Source organism: Homo sapiens, chromosome 20 (genome assembly GCF_000001405.40).
Source record: "Homo sapiens chromosome 20, GRCh38.p14 Primary Assembly".
In the NCBI taxonomy this organism is placed as follows: Eukaryota; Metazoa; Chordata; class Mammalia; order Primates; family Hominidae; genus Homo; species Homo sapiens.
The window spans coordinates 53165689-53181878 of record NC_000020.11 but is presented as its reverse complement, the minus strand read 5'-3'; the positions used below and the strand labels follow the sequence as shown (position 1 = coordinate 53181878).

At 41.5% G+C, this 16190-nt stretch overlaps 1 protein-coding gene across 9 annotated transcripts in view, besides 1 other annotated feature; it reads right to left on the bottom strand.

The window, feature by feature from the left end:
- TSHZ2 (teashirt zinc finger homeobox 2) overlaps positions 1–16190 on the bottom strand; it is a 522973-nt gene that overhangs the window by 313452 nt on the left and 193331 nt on the right. The window lies entirely within an intron of this gene.
- Positions 5315–5609: a silencer, noted in NCBI's record as "tiled region #1604; K562 Repressive non-DNase unmatched - State 7:EnhWF". NCBI's record gives its function as "represses a minimal TATA promoter and a strong SV40 promoter by Sharpr-MPRA in K562 cells {active_cell/tissue: K562}" and the evidence as "EXISTENCE:reporter gene assay evidence [ECO:0000049][PMID:27701403]".

Below are 16190 nucleotides of genomic sequence, written 5' to 3'. Positions count from 1 at the left end.
TCTGGGCACAGCTGTTAATTTCTCTTTCTCCTGTTTGATCTTGGCTCACTGCAAGCTCCGCTTCCCGGGTTCACGCCATTCTCCTGCCTCAGCCTCCCCAGCAGCTGGGACTACAGGCGCCCACCACCACGCCCGGCTAATTTTTTGTATTTTTGGTAGAGACAGGGTTTCACTGTGTTAGCCAGGATGGTCTCAATCTCCTGACCTCGTGATCTGCCCGCCTCGGCCTCCCAAAGTGCTGGGATCAGAGGTGTGAGCCACCGTGTCCGGCCCACAGTTGTTAATTTCTAAATAAAAGCAACGACCCCCTACTCCTCACTCCTCAGAGCCCCTGATTTGTTAGATGCTTTTCTGTGTCTGTGGGCTCAGTCCATCTTTCCAGACCTCTTTTTTCTGTCCAGTGTATTTGTTTTCAAGAGAGATGCTGAACTTCTGTTTGTTTCCTTTGATCTGTCAGAAACAGAATCTATTTAGACTGTCTTCCAGTCTGTTGTTTGTGGAGTAAATATGTACACAGCAGCAATTACACCCCAGACACTCTTCTTGGAGCTGGGGTACCTTTGTGAAAAAAGAACAACATGGTCCTTTCCCTGCGGAGTCTATTGTCTTGTTGGGGAAACAGATAAGGAACAAACACACCCATGAACAATATCATTTCAGAGAGTGACTGGAGCTATGGAAAAGAGAAAAAGGGATGTAGAGAAGAGATTCTTTATCTAGCGGGGCCAGGGTAAGTTCTTCCAGGAGATGACAGTGAAGTTAGGAGAAACTTAACTGCAAAAACACTGAGACAGCGAAGAGCTGGGGAAAGGAGGAACATGTGAAAAAGAAAGGTGAGAAATGGTGGGGTACACTCAATGAAGGGGAGGGACCAGGAAATAAGGCAATTGGCTGGGGTTTTAGCTAAGTCTAAAGGGCAGACCCTCCTATCCAGACGGTCTGGATATGAGATCGTGGATAGGAGATCATGGGATCTAATTTATATTATTCTGCAAAACAAAAGCTCCAATTCCTAGGAGCCACATGTCTGACTCAGTAAGGCAGCTCCTTGTCCCTTTTTGCTTTGTGTTAACAAGTGATCTTTTCATTTTATTTTATAATTTTTTTAATTTAAAAAATATATTTAGGGGTAAAAGTGCAGATTTCTTACATACATACATTCTGCTTTGGTGACATCTGGGCTTTTAGTGTACCTATCACCCGAATGGTGTGCTCCTAATCAAATACATTTCAGCAGTGTTAGGAGAAGGATGTTGGCAGTTGTGGCCCCTCCTACATGAGTTTTAGAACTACAGAGTTCTCCAGGGTTGCTTTATTTATCCTGAGCATGCAAGACTGAACCAAAATCAGGAAGGGCTGCCCTGGTGTGATCTCTGCATAAACCTGTATCTCACCCTGGACTTCAGCAAATTAATTTGTAAAACTGAAATGAAACCCAATTGGCTGAGTGACCAAGCCATTTCTTGGGGGTTTCTTCTACTTCGGATTGTTCCCTTTGAGTATTCTGCTTTAGACAAAGCAAACCATCCCTCTAGGGAAAATGCCATCATCCTGGGAATTGGAACAAAGTTTGAATAGAGTAATAGATTCTACCCAAATGCAAAAATGTAATGAAAGATGGATTTTGGTAATGTGCTCTTTCTGCTGCTGTGCTTATCGAGATACAGTGTACAATTCTATCAACATGCCCAGGAGAAGATCCAAAGCCCTCCCTTTCTCCCAATCTCTTTCTTTTGTCACAGAATCTCTGAAGCTACTGAAGTAATTAATGGGGAAAGTACTCAATGCCACATGAACCTCCTCCAATCATTTCCAAAATGGTTCGACATTCTATAAATGACAGTTTATGTGCCTATAATATGCATCTGGTGAAATGCGTATTTTCCTTTCAGAAGGTGTTTCCATTACGGTTATTCTGAACATCACGTGATCTTACAGTTGCTAGGGTAACTCCATCTTTTTTAAAGGAGAACAACAGAGTAAATAAGCACGTAAATCGACTTTGGTGCTATGTAAATTCTAGTGAATCTCTTATCGTTACCTTGACGATAAAAAAGCTGGCATTTATCTTCTCTGGCCCCCAGCACGCTTTAGTTTGAACTTAAATTTTATAAAATACACGTGTGGGTATGCCAAAGGCTCTACAGATATCCAGGAAGCAGTGCTGGTCAAGCGATATGTTCAACAGGCAAGGCCGCCTGGACAATGACGATGGGTCACAGAAGAACCAGGGGAGGGAGTAAATGGGAGACCAGATGTTCAGAGTCAAGAGGTAATACCTGTCAATTATGGGCTATCACTCAGTAAGCCTACTCAGGTGGCACGTGAGCTTCTGGAACAGCCGGAAACCTTGTCAACTGTCCAGGTAGTTTGTCCACCTGAAGTCTCACCTATGACTTCTCTGGATCCTTTGGCATCCTAGCACTGAAATCTGCAAAGCTGCTTATGTACTTTCTGTAAGGTGAAAATTACGGATGCAGCACCTGTGATTAAGTCATGATGGCTGGAAGTAAATCTTGGTGAATATTTCTAAATGTTTTCCACATTTCCCATACAGAGGTTTGATAATTTGTTCACCTAGTTTCCATTTTATAATTGAGGTTGGCAGTGGAGACCAAGACTCGATGTGGTGTGGGTCAATTTGGAAGAATTACTTCGAAGAAAATGAGAAAGAAACACTCAAATGAAATCCCTTTTGAGGAAGGAGATACTCTTTTCCTTAAAAAAAAAAAAATCAACATTTGTATCAATAAAGGTTGAGATCAGAAAATGTTTCCCGTTCAATGAGAAAGATTTGGACTGTGATGAAGATAAACTAAAAAGAAAAGAGTTTGACCAACTGGCAAGGGTTTGACCCCTTTCCCCTTTAAAAAAATCACACTAAAACTACAGCTTATGTTTCGCATGAGTGGATGCTCTGAATTGCAATGCAAAGTGCTTATGAAAACTTAAGATCTTACATTACTACTTCAAAGAGTACATGTGATAGGAATTCCTATAGAAGAAAATGAAAAAGGATATAGCTTGAAAATCCAAATTTATAGCAAATTCTGCATCTATCATTTGGCGATGCTATGACTGGATGCTATCACTATTTGGAAGTATCAAAAATATTACAAAGGAAAATTAAGCTTCATTTTACTCTATCTTCTTATAAAGTGAGGCCCACATCCTGGTGATGACTATTTCCTTAATGAGACTATGGGATTTTATCAAACTCCATAAAACATGATTGCATTTCCTTCACTCTGAAATCACCTTATTTTAATTTCCACATGAAATTGGGATGCAATTTGTGTGTACATTTAATATGCGAGGGTTCCTTCTCCACCTCTCACTCACTCCTCCCCAAAAAAGCTTTGGCCAAATCTACAGCATGTTTTACAATGGACAGAGTCTTAGGATTGAGGCAAGTACAATCAAGAGGAGTCAGGGGCTAAGATAAACAAAAGAACATGAAAACAGTGATGGTGATGCCTCATGTGATTAGCTCTATGGTCCCTTCCTCTTCTCAGAGTGACAGGCAGAAAAATCGACAGTTAATTCCAGATCCATCAGGGGCTGTGCTGCCTTTCTACAGAAATGATGAGTTTAGAGAGCAAGCTGCAGATGAGTGTCTGAGCACTCGCGGGAGGTGCCGAGTGTCATGGCAGAAGTTCGTGTGGCATCGCTGTCTGCTGCGTCCAAGAGATGATAGGGTCCTTCCAGAAGAGGAACAGCAGGGTAGCGCAGAAATGGAAGGTAAAAGAGGTTAATTTATGGAAATTATCCAGGTCATGCAACCAGTAGGACATATCAAACAGCTTTAAGAGAGCAGCAGTGATGTGTGTAGGATCTGACTTTTAATAGGTCATGAGACAGTGACAGCTAACGGGGAGCCAGGTAACTTTTGGAGACAAAAGCTAACATTTCCAGAGTGCTTACAATGCACCAGGCACTGTGCAAAGAGCCAAAGCAGTGCGAGAGATACTGTGATCCCCATTTTACAGATGAGGAAATAGAGGCTCTGAGAGTTTCAGCATGAAGTCAGTAAGGGGCAACTCCTCTCAACATTGGGATCAAGTCCTACCTTGGGCACTGTAGGGAGAGCACCTAGGAACTGTCCCTAGAAACATTATGTGTGGGTCCATGACCAGATTTTTATTTATTTTAAAATCAGAAGAAAAATAATGAACTTTTAGATAGAAGAAACTGCTTAAATGTAGATTAACATATTTGTCTGTATACTAATGTAATCATAGGATATAATTTTTAATATCTTTTTAAATGCGAGGGGCCCCGAAGGTAAAGGTGCCAAGGATTCATGGAAGACCTAATGCAGCCCTGAAGAAAGAACTGGAATTAAAGGGCAAGTCTAAAGCCTTGCTTCTTCAAGTGTGGTTTGAGGACCAGCCGTATGTGCACCAGTGAAGGCTCCTTGGAAATGTAGAATCTCGGCACAGATCTGCTGAATCAGAATCTACATTTTAATGAGATCCCCAGTAGATTCATACGCACATTAAAATTTGAGATGCACTCCACTAAATCCTGAACTAACAATTTATACTAACTCTTCATCTTCACATGAGCCACGGCAATTTTAACCTGTATTGGAATCTAAAACCATGCTGGGTAAGGACAGAGGTTTTCCTGGGAGCTGGTTTAGGTGTCCTTTTACCCCTGGTAAGGCAGGTAGGTTACAAAGATGCATACAGTGGTTGGATGCAGTGGTTCACACCTGTAATCTCAGCACTTTGGGAGGCTGAGGCAGGAGGATCACTTGAGGCCAGGAGTTCGAGGCCAGCCTGGACAACATACTAAGACTCCCATTTCTACAATGATAATAACAAAAAATTTCTACAATATAATTTCTACAATAATAACAAAAATAAATACATAAAGAAATACAACTTCTGGCTGGGTGCGATGGCTCGTGCCTGTAATCCCAGCACTTTGGGAGGCCGAAGCGGGTGGATCACAAGGTCAAGAGTTCGAGACCTTCCTGGCCAACATAGTGAAACCCCATCTCTACTAAAAATATAAAAATTAGCTGGGCGTGGTGACGCATGCTTGTAGTCCCAGCTACTCGGGAGGCTGAGGTAGGAGGATCGCTTGAACTCAGGGGGCGGAGGTTGCAGTGAGCCGAGATTGCACCACTGCACTCCAGCCTGGTGACAGAGCGAGACTTCGTCTAAAAAAAAAAAAAAAAGAAAGAAACAAAGAAATACAACTTCTAAATAAAAATATAATTTAGAGATAACAATGTTGATTAAATCACTAATATCCTGTTACTCTTGACTTAAGCCCTGTGAAATAATTAGGGAGTTTTGCACCAGTACCGGTCACCAACTCCAGTAATCAATGCTGTAGGAAACATGCACAGGTTGGGAGTCCTCAGTCACGTCCCCTTGGTTTTTCATTCTAACAATGCTCCCTAGCAACCCTCAATTAAGAGGGCTTTGAGAAACCTACCCGCTGGCTCCCTGCACTGGGGAATGAGGTGAGCTAAGCCTAGCAGACACCTCCTCCCAAAAGGATTCTAGCACTGTCCCTCTGACACCTGCTGGCTACAGGTGTTCAGCAACTTTTAAGGATGAGGGCAAAGAACTATTTCAGTCTATGAGGCATTCTTTGAGGCTTATCAGGGAGAAGATACAGACAGGAGGGGAAAACGGGTAAAAGAAAGAGGGAGAGAAAATAGGAGGAAAATGTGGAAAAGGCATTTGAGAGGGAAAAGCCTGAAGATGACCTTAGAACTAAGGAGCAGTAACTCCAGCAGTTCAGCACCTGTTGTCAAACACCTTGTGAATGAAAGAGCAAGGAGGGAATTTAACTCTGTCCAGTCAGTGTCAAATATCTGGATTAAAGGGGTGTGTGCACACTCATCTTCTTCACAGCACTTGTAATGATCTGAAATTACGTTGTTTATTTATTTACGTTTTTACTCTGGGTCTCCTTTGCTAGCAAATAATCTCCATGAGAATAAGGCTCTGTTCTGTTCACTGAAGGATTCCCCACACCTGGACAGGCAGCTGGCATGTGCCCAGTAAAGTTTAGCTGAATGAATGCAACAAAGGTTGGGGGAAGTCAGTCTTTGTGACATGCTAACCAAGTCTGTAGGTCGGGGTACCACCAATCTGAATCCAAGCAATCTAGAGGAGCCGATGGAACTTCTCATTCTGGCACTAATTCCTGATTCACTGTATGGCCTGGAGCAGCCACTATCTGCCCTACCCCAATCCACCCTCTGCCTCAGCTGCTTATCTGTGGGAGACAGATGAGAAGACTGACCTGACTTCCCTCGAACAGACAAGATAACAATGTGTGCATGCTCTGAAAGCAGTGCCATGCTTCCTGGAAGAAAGCCGTTGATATAAGCACAAGGGTGTGTTTCCTTCTGGCCATTGAGCATCAGACAAAACCACCAAGGGCCAAGGCAGAAGAAAAAAACGCCCAGGGGGCCAGGTGCAATGGCTCACACCTGTAATCCAGCACTTTGGGAGGCCGAGGCAGGTGGATCACCTGAGGTCAGGAGTTAGAGACCAGCCTGGCCAACATGGTGAAACCCAGTCTCTACTAAAAATACAAAAAATTAGCCAGGCGTGGTGGTGGGCGACTGTAATTCCAGCTACTCGGGAGGCTGAGGCAGGCAATTGCTTTAACCTGGGAAGAGGAGGTTGCAGCAAGCCGAGATCGTGCTATTGCACTTCAGCCTGGGCAACAAGAGCAAAACTCCGTTGAAAAAAAAAAAAAAAAAAAAAAAAAAAAGAAAGAAGAAGAAGGAGGAGAAGGAGAAGAAAAAGCCCAGGGAGCTATAACATAGTCAGGAATCATCCTCTTGCTGCCCCCGTTACGTCTCATTCTAAAAGCCAGCAAACAGAAACTCATCGAGAGAAAGACATTTGTAAAATAATGAAAAAACGAAGAGCCAAGAAAGATTATTTATTCAGACCCTCAGAAATGGGGTCCTGCAATTTCCTATTCATTTTTTCTTTTATTTTTCTCCTGCTCTTGATCCATTTCCTCCTTCACGCTGCCTCCTTCCTACCACTATGCCATTTTTGTTTGGGACCCAATTTAAAAAGTGCTGCATTTCTCTGGATTTGTCTAAATATTACACTGGGACTGCCCCTCCGTGGACTTGAATCACCCCAAATTCCATTTTACATTTTCCTTTGTTGGAACCCACGTGACCAAGGCAGAGCCTAAAGGAGAATAACCCTGAGCATGTCCCAGAGACACAGGCGTCATGATAGCTAAGCCTTGAGTGCCAGGCTTGACAACTCAGAGCTTGATAGGCATCCACCCACCAGTATTATCATTCTTGCTCTGCAGATAAAGAAGGTGGGTGCTGAGTCCTACAAGGCACACAGTTAGCAGAAGCAGATTTGAAAATGAGCCCAGTCCATCTGTGACCCATTCCACTGGCCCCAATTTAATTAAAAATGCTGGAACTTATTCGACATGGCCTATGAAGGGTTGCTTTTGACAAACAGCAAGACTTATGGTTGAGTCCCCAGGTCTCAACTGCTAGTGGGGTTTGTGAAAGTTTCTCCTTAGATCTGAAGCTCAAGGCAAGGAATCTCTTGTTTTCCTTTTTCTTTTTCTACTTGATTTTATTCTTCATAGATTTAAATATTACCCAAGGGGCCAACTTTCCCCTTAATTCTCTATCAGCTTCTGGCTGGGCGCACAACCCTATCCTAGCTCTAACGCTTTGTTCTTACTCTAGCCCATTTGACATCTCTCCCATGCTAAAACCGTTAGAGCTAGGACAACACACAGATAAAGCCATGCTGGTCACTCCAGCATCCTGAGATGTCTCTTCCTCTCCATTTCCCCTTCCTCTCCCTCCTGAATTTCCCTGTGGTCAGGGCCATGCCTTCATGGGTATGTGTATGTGTGTGTATGTCTGTCTGTATGTGTTTGTGTATACTTTGAAGTTCTATCTAAAATTAAAAGTATCACATGGACTTTGTAAAACACACACACTACACACAGAGGTATAAAATCTAAACAAACAAAACAAAACAAGATCCTGGGTGCCTTCCACACACCTTCCTGGCAGCCCCAACCCCCAAATCATCACTGTGTATGGTCTCATATCTTTCCAGAACATGATCGTGCATTTACAAAAATACTTTCTACCTACCTACCTGCCTACCCACCCACCCATCCATCCCCTTTTCAGTTACACAACTGTTCAGACTGTTGACTGTTTCATTTAACAATATACCTAAAAGCTTGATCCATATGGATCTGCTTTATTGTTATTATTATTAATTTTCTTTTGAGATGGAGTCTCACCCTGTTGCCCAGGCTGGAGTGCAGTGGCGCTACGTCGGCTCACTGCAACCTCTGCCCCCCGGGCTCAAGCGATTCTCCTGCCTCAGCCTCCTGAGTAGCTGGGATTACAGGTGCACACCACCATGCCTGGCTAATTTTTTGTATCTTTAGTAGAGACGGGGTTTCACCATGTTGACCAGGCTGGTCTTGAACTCCTGACCTAGTGATCCGCCTGCCTCTGCCTCCCAAAGTGTTGGGATTACAGGTGTAAGCCACAGCGCCCAGCCTCCGCTTTATTATTATTTAAATACTTACCTAGCATTTTAGCAGGTGGATAGGATATAGTTTATTTGGCCAATCCTTTATGGATGGACAATTTGGTGATTTTTATTTTAATCTACTTTATTTTATTTTGTTAAAGTTATTCCCCCTGGCCTTCTATCATTTACTCCTGTTCTCAGCTAGACTGTAAGCTTCTTGAAGGCAGAGCTCTATTTAATAGTAGCAGCTACAGTTGATATTTCCTTGTGCTGGGAGCACTGTGTTCATTATGTGTCATGCACCAGCTCAAGACCATTATGAGACAGGTACTGCCATTCCTCCACTGTACAGAACAGGAAATTGAGGCTTACAGCAGGGAGGGTAATTTGTCCAAGGTTATACAAATGCAAAGTAGATTCAAACCCACAGAGCTTGTCTTCAGAGCCTACCTCCTATCATTCCTCTCTACCTGCTGTGTGGAGTCCACTCTCGTGATTCCCTCAAGTTTGCTAGTGTTTCTTAGCCATGCTCTGGTGAAGAGGACCGAATGGAATATCAAGTCCAGAGTCAGTCTTCCAAGGCACAGATCCTGGCTTTCCCTCTTTCTAGCCGTGAAGCTTTAGCAAGTTACCAGAATGCTCTGTGCCTCAGTTTCCTCTCTGTTAAACAGAAATAATGATAGTACTCACCTCACAGGATGGTTGTGAGGATTTAGCAACATAATCTGGCCCAGAGGAGGCACAGAGTCGATTTTACAAACGATTCAAGCTTAGACTCCAGAGTAAAGATGCCATAAGTATTTGTTGAACGTTGTAAGTCTGGGAACTTTTTCTTTTCTCTCTTATTTCTTCCTCCTCTACCCACAGAGCAGCTTAAACTGTTAACTGACTAGAATTTTCCTAAGACATCTTTTAAATATTTTAAATCTAAAAAATAAAAATAAAAATAAAACCCAAACAATAGCTAGAGTTCAGACATAGCAGGCATTTTTAAAATAAAAGAGCTAGAAGAAGATTTGGCCAATTGAAGAGGAAACAAATGGAAAAAAGAAAATCCTCAAAAGCCTTTTTATTAATTGATCACATGTAGCATATACTTGGAATTGAATTGGGAAAAACACAAATTCTGCCCTTGTCCTCTTGGGACTTACACTTTAATTCACTAAAACCAACCAAAATTGATATGGTTCAGAGTTTAAAGTAGATAGACATTGCTTTATAATTCATATCTAAAATGACCCTCTTGTTCTAGGCAAAGTGAGATAGACAGAAAAATGACAGGGCTGACTGGATAAACTGAGATATGCATACAACAATCATTTTTTTTCCTCGTAAGTTACAATGATTTTTAAAGCTTCATGTCCTTGTGGTTCTTTTTTTGTTCCCCTTTATTCATATGAGGCAGGATGACTTATTACTCTACCTATAAATTTCTTCTTTAGAGGTTGCAATTTTCATCTAGGGGGAAAGCCCTTTTCTTATTAATGATCTGTATCATTTGTAGTAACAATACCTTTCTTCCTTTGTTTAAGAAAAAACAATAATAATGATAGTCATAAGAAGTAGACTTTCCATATCAAAGTCAACCAGAAAATAAATGAGAAAAACATATATTTTGATACCATGTTTTAGCCTCAGAAAAGTCAACAAAATTATTTTTATTATATATTAAACATATAGCTCCTGCATATAGCTCAGAATCAATTAATTTAAAGTAATAATTTGTACAAACACCCTCACAAAAATTTTAAAGGGTATTAAACACCCTGTTTTATAAACATAACACTTAATTTAGGAAAAAAAAAACATTTAGAAGGTAATGCATTTAGGATAAGTGCACAACACATGAAAATAATAAATGAAATTTTCCCAGTTTAGAAAATGAATGTAATTAATTAACATTTAAATTACATTTTTAATTGCAATCATGCCCTCCCAGGGGACTCATAAGGGACCATAATTGCAATTAAAAGCATGTGGATTAGATAATAAAACAATGCACACTGTCTGAAATGTGCGATTTAAAATGGAAAACAGACATTGTTATCGGCACATCTAACTTAATTGTAGCCATAAAGCAAATGTGCTGTACAAAATAAAATTCACATACGGGAACATTTAATTCTGGAGTCTCTTAAAGGGGACACGCTTGAGAGCACATTTTATGACAGGTTCTGTTGGAAACAGCCCTTTAAGGCTTTCGGATCGAGGGCTGGTGCCTTAATGTTTTTGCATTAATAAAAGCAAAGCTGAATGTTCCTATTAAAACACACAGATACATTTAAGTAAGAGATGAAACTCGATGTCTAAATTAAAGCTGCGGTGCATAATTCTATTAGCTGGACAGACTGTAAGGACATGTAATTTTGAAACTATATCTTTTTGTGTTTTTTTTTTTTAATTACTTTTTTTCTTTTCATTTTTTATTGTCTTTCCTTCCTTTTGAGAGGAGCACCATCAAAGGTGTGGGGATTTGGGACTGGAGGAGGGAGAGCCAGAGACGTGTGTCTTGGGCAAGGCTAGAGCTGGGCCCAAACACCACTCTGACGTCCTAACATCCAATATCCCTCACCTTAAGGAAGACAAACCAATGCCCTTTCATTATATAAAGGTCTATTTTAGTACCGCTAAGCTCAGCATTATGATTAGAAACCTTTTTTCATACCACACATTTCAGCGTTCACAACTGGGGTTACATTTGCCAGCGTCTGGAGACATTCTCTGATTGTCACAACCTGGGGGAGAGGTGCTACAATCATCCAGTGGGTGGAGGCCGGGGATGCTGCTCAACAGTGTACAGTGCCCAGGACAGCCTCCCCGGCCCCCGCCACCACCATCATAGCAGGAAAGTATCTGGTTCAATAGCGTCAAGGTTGTCAAGATTCAGAAACCCTGGTTCATCTTAGGAGAGAGAAGAGATGCCAAACTTCTAAGGAAGCAGACTCAGATTTTGGCATACGCTTGCTAGGAAATACAAAACTGTATCTATCCTAAGAGAAAATGAACAAAACTCTTTCAGAATCACATTACAGTAGATACAGGCTGCAGTCTACGGCTTCTTAGCCTAGATGTCAATTTCATTTGCTTATTTATGAGGAACAGCGATTCTGTTTACAGTATAAATGTTAACATGGAATTAGAAGCAGCATAGCCCTAGAAAAGCAGTGTAATCGAAAGACAAAGTCTAGACTTTGGGGCTGAATAGATCTCCATTCAAAACCTGGCTCTGTAATTACTAGCTATGTGGCTCTGCTAGAGTTGATTTTCCTCTGCAAGCCTCAGTTTTCACATCTGTTTTCCAAACAGTAGTTATTCTTGTAGCATTCTTGAAGACAAGTAGCATTCTTGTCTTCAATGGTGGTATGCAGATCAGAAAAAATGGGCATATATATGTAAATATACACACTTATACACACATACATTTATTGAATATATTTACTTATGAATGTATAAGTATACATACCATACATTGGTTACATAACTGTGTATAAATACCTTTACATAAGTATAATATACAATGTATATATAGGCACATACCTGGGCATGCACATGTGCAAAATTTATTAATTGATATGCAAATTTCTATAAAAATAGACAACTATTCTCAAGACTTGAGTTCTTGACACTGTGAAGAACTGATATAAACTGGATTCTGTTTAAAAAGGGGAGGGGGAATGACATCTAATTCTTCTGACAAGTTTAAATTTACATATATGCACAGTTCAGTGCATTCTACAAACTCATTCATGCAACAGATTTTTTTGAGGGGCTTACTATATGCCAGGAACCATGCTAGCCTTGGCGATGTAGTTAAAAAAGAGAGCTGGAAGAAAAGGGTTTTAGGTAGATAATAAAACATCTGGACTTGATCCTAGGACAATGGGAAATCATTGATGACTTTGGGCAAAGAATTAAAACCAACAGATTTGCATTTCCTAAGAGATTACTGAGCAGTGTGGAGCATTGGTCAAGGAAGCATGGGAGACTAGAGCTCAACACGGCTGGAGCAATGACGTTGAGAGGCCAGAAGCTGGTACAATTATGGCTTGGAGAGTTTACCAGATTGGAGGAAGAGCTGAACCCAGCTGACAATACAGTTTTTGTTTCAAATAAAGCCCAGAAAGGTGAGAACCAACTCTCAATTTCTTAACCTAATGAAGGGCAGTAAAAATGAAGATGTAAGACTACTTGGATCTGAGACCAGTGAGTCCTAGATACCTATCCATCCCACTTACCTGGAGCAAGTAAAAATTACAGATTCCTGAACCTCATTCAGACCTCTCAAATTGGAATGGATGGGCAGGACGTGAGGAGTCTGTAATTCTGATGCTTGGCATGTTTAGGGAAGACTGTACTGTCATAACTATTGTTTATTTGTAATTCAGGTTACAAATCAAGAAGATTTTGAACATTATTCAATAAACTGAAAAGCCGATATCTAGGATGATAGCAGAAGTGATGCCACCTGTTTGCCAAATCCTATTTCTTCTTTCTCTTGCTACAGGAAGACCACTCTTCCCAGTTTCTGGCCAATGGGATGAGGGAAGAAGTGATGGGCATCAGTTACAGAACTCATTCACACCTTCAATGGTTTTGGAAGCCACATGCTCCAGATGGCAGAGCTACCCTGGAAAGAAGGTTGCATCTGAGTCACCACGTGGAGATCAACTTTGTACATGTGAAACATAAATGTTTACTGTGTTGGGCCACTGAGATGTTTAGCTGTTTGTTTCACCAGCTAGCCTTAATTATCCTAATACAAGGAGACAGACAAGCAAAAACATCTTTCAGAGTATGTCATGGAATCCATATATATTCAATCAATTTTTCCAGTATTCATCATAAGTTTTCTAAGGCAAAGTCTCTGAATAGCCAGCCATAGATGTTATTTCTAGCTTCAGGATTGGTATATTTGAGTGGATTTTAACTCTTTTGGAGTTTAACTAAGAACACATTCCATTCTCATAAACTAGACTATGTGAATAAGCCAGTGGTTTTCATTTCTCAGGTGGGGAGGTTGGCTCCTAGGGGACATAGAACAATGTCTGGAGTCATTTTTGTCTGTCACAGCCTGGGGTGAGGTGCTAGTGGTATCTGAGGGTAGGGGCTACACGTCCGACGATATACAGGACAGCCTCCATCAGCAAACAACTATCCAGACAAAAATGTCAACAGTGCCATTGGACAAACCCTGAACAAATCAAATTGAGAGTGCACTTGATCTCGGGGACTGAGGTTTGCTTGCCTTCTGGACATAATCACACACCCATGATGCCAAAAAGAACAATGACCAACTGATGCCAGACAGACCCTGCAGTCCAACAAATCAGGTTGCCCATGACTGGCAAGGCGACTATTGCCACTCCCTGCCAGATTGTGGCAGTCAGTTTGTCAGAAAATCAGACAGAAATGTACCAGGGACTTTTTGTCACCTGGGCATAAAGAAACACCTTGAAAGACAGTTATTCACATGTTCAACTTTGTCTTCTTTATTCCAATTTGGTGCTAATGTCACATTTGTCATAACTTCACATGACTCTACGGGGGACGTAATACCCCACCCAGTGGGAGCGTGCATTGACAGGTGCTGCAAAGTTCACCTCTCTGCCACCTTCACCACTTGCACCTCTCATTCAAACACACAGGCCTCCAGGAAGAACAATTTGAGATTGCAATGTTTAAGACATTATGAATTAAACTGCCATCCAATTGATATGATATGAGGAATACCTAGAGTCCCTTATTAAACACACACATACACACACACAAACACACACACACACACAAACAAGCAAGCAAACAAACAAAACATTACTCCCTACCATTCTCCACCCTGACACAAAGTCTGATCTCAGCACAGCTTGGTGACTGTGAGAATGAGTGATGGGGTCAAACATAGGTTTGAAGCCTGACTTCCCTGCTTCCTACCTGTGATTTTAGGAAAGTTATTAAACATGCCTAAGCACCAGTTTTCTCACCTATATAGTGAAAATAATGTCTACCTTATATGGTTGGTGTGAAGATCAGAAGAGAAAATGTATATAAAGTGCTCAATTTAGTGTCTGGTTACAGTAGATGTAAACTATATCCTTCTTGATGTAGAATAAAAGCTCACCTCCACAGACAGCATAGTCATATGTGACTTGGCCTCTGCTGGCCTCTACATTCATCTTCCCACTTTATTCTGGATTCATTGAGCTCCAGCCACCATCTTTCTTTTCCAGAAAGAACAAACCCAACTCATTCTCACCCCAGGACCTTTGTACCTGCTGCTTCCTCTGTGTAGAAAGGTCTTCCTCCAGATTTTTGTCATGACTGGGACTACTCAGCCTTCTGGTCACAGCCTATATGTCACCTTCCTCTGACCGTTGTCTCCATAGTTGTTCCCACCTTTATTTTTAGTCATTCACTATTACATTATCAGGTTTTTTTAATATAATACTTAGCAGCATCTGAGATTATCCTATTCAGATATTTATGTACCTGTTTATTGTCTTTTTCAAACCATTGATTGTAAGCTGCATGCAGGCAGAGAGTTTGCCTTATTTTTGTTTTGATTTTTTATTTTATTATTATTATTTTTTAGACAGAGTCTCACTTTGTTGCCCAGGCTGGAGTGCAGTGGTGTGATCTTGGCTCACTGAAACCTCTACTTCCCAGGCTCAAGTGATCCTCCTACCTCAGCCTCCCAAGTAGCTAGGACTACAGGCATGTGCCACCATGCCTGACTAATTTTTGTATTTTTATTAGAGATGGGGTTTCACCATGTTGGCCAGGCTGGTCTTGAACTTCTGGCCTCAAGTGATCCACCCACCTCAGCCTCCCAAAGTGCTGGGATTACATGCATGAGCCACCACTCCTGGCCTAATTTTTAATTTTTCAAATGTTTAGTTTTTTTTGTAGAGACAGGCTCTTGCTGTGTTACCCAGGTTGGTCTCAAACTCCTGGCCTCAAGAAATCCTCCCACCTCAGCCTTCCAGAGTGTTGGGATTACAGGTGTAAGCCATCATGCCCAGCCCAAATTCGCCTTATTCAATGTCTGTGTGCACCACACTTAGAATTTTTCTTACCCAGTTGGTTTTCAATGAACATTTGTTGAATAAAGTAAATCAAAACTAACTTGATTAATAGAATATGTTGAAACTGCCCCAATACCTCCTGAGAAATCTTTTAATAACAAAACCAAGGATGGGGAAATCTAACAAGGACTCTAAGCTCCCAGCAATATCCTCAAAGGGTGGAGATGTCCAGTTGTCGTCACAGCCCATTCTAGACAAATCTTCAACTTGTATTAGTTTCTGATAAGTCATTGCAGGAACAAAGAGTTCACAGATTTGGGAACGGGACAACTAAACATATGCCACCATCTGAAACTAGAAAGTTTGTGATGAACTTCAGTGTCCAGGCCAGAGGACAGAATGATGGGAATGCTGTGTGAGCCCATCAGAAAGGAGCTCAGTGTTAAGTGGCTGTGCAAGGGTTTGCAGTCACCGTTGTGAGTGAGTCTGCATGTGGACCCAAATGGGCAGTCAAGGGTGGCTGGGAGGACTACCTAATTATGTTTCAAATTCACCATCAGGCGACTCCACTTGGCCACTCTTTCACTTGCCCCATGAAATGGATCTGAGACACAAACTACGCCTTAACTAGGCAGCTTCCACTCTT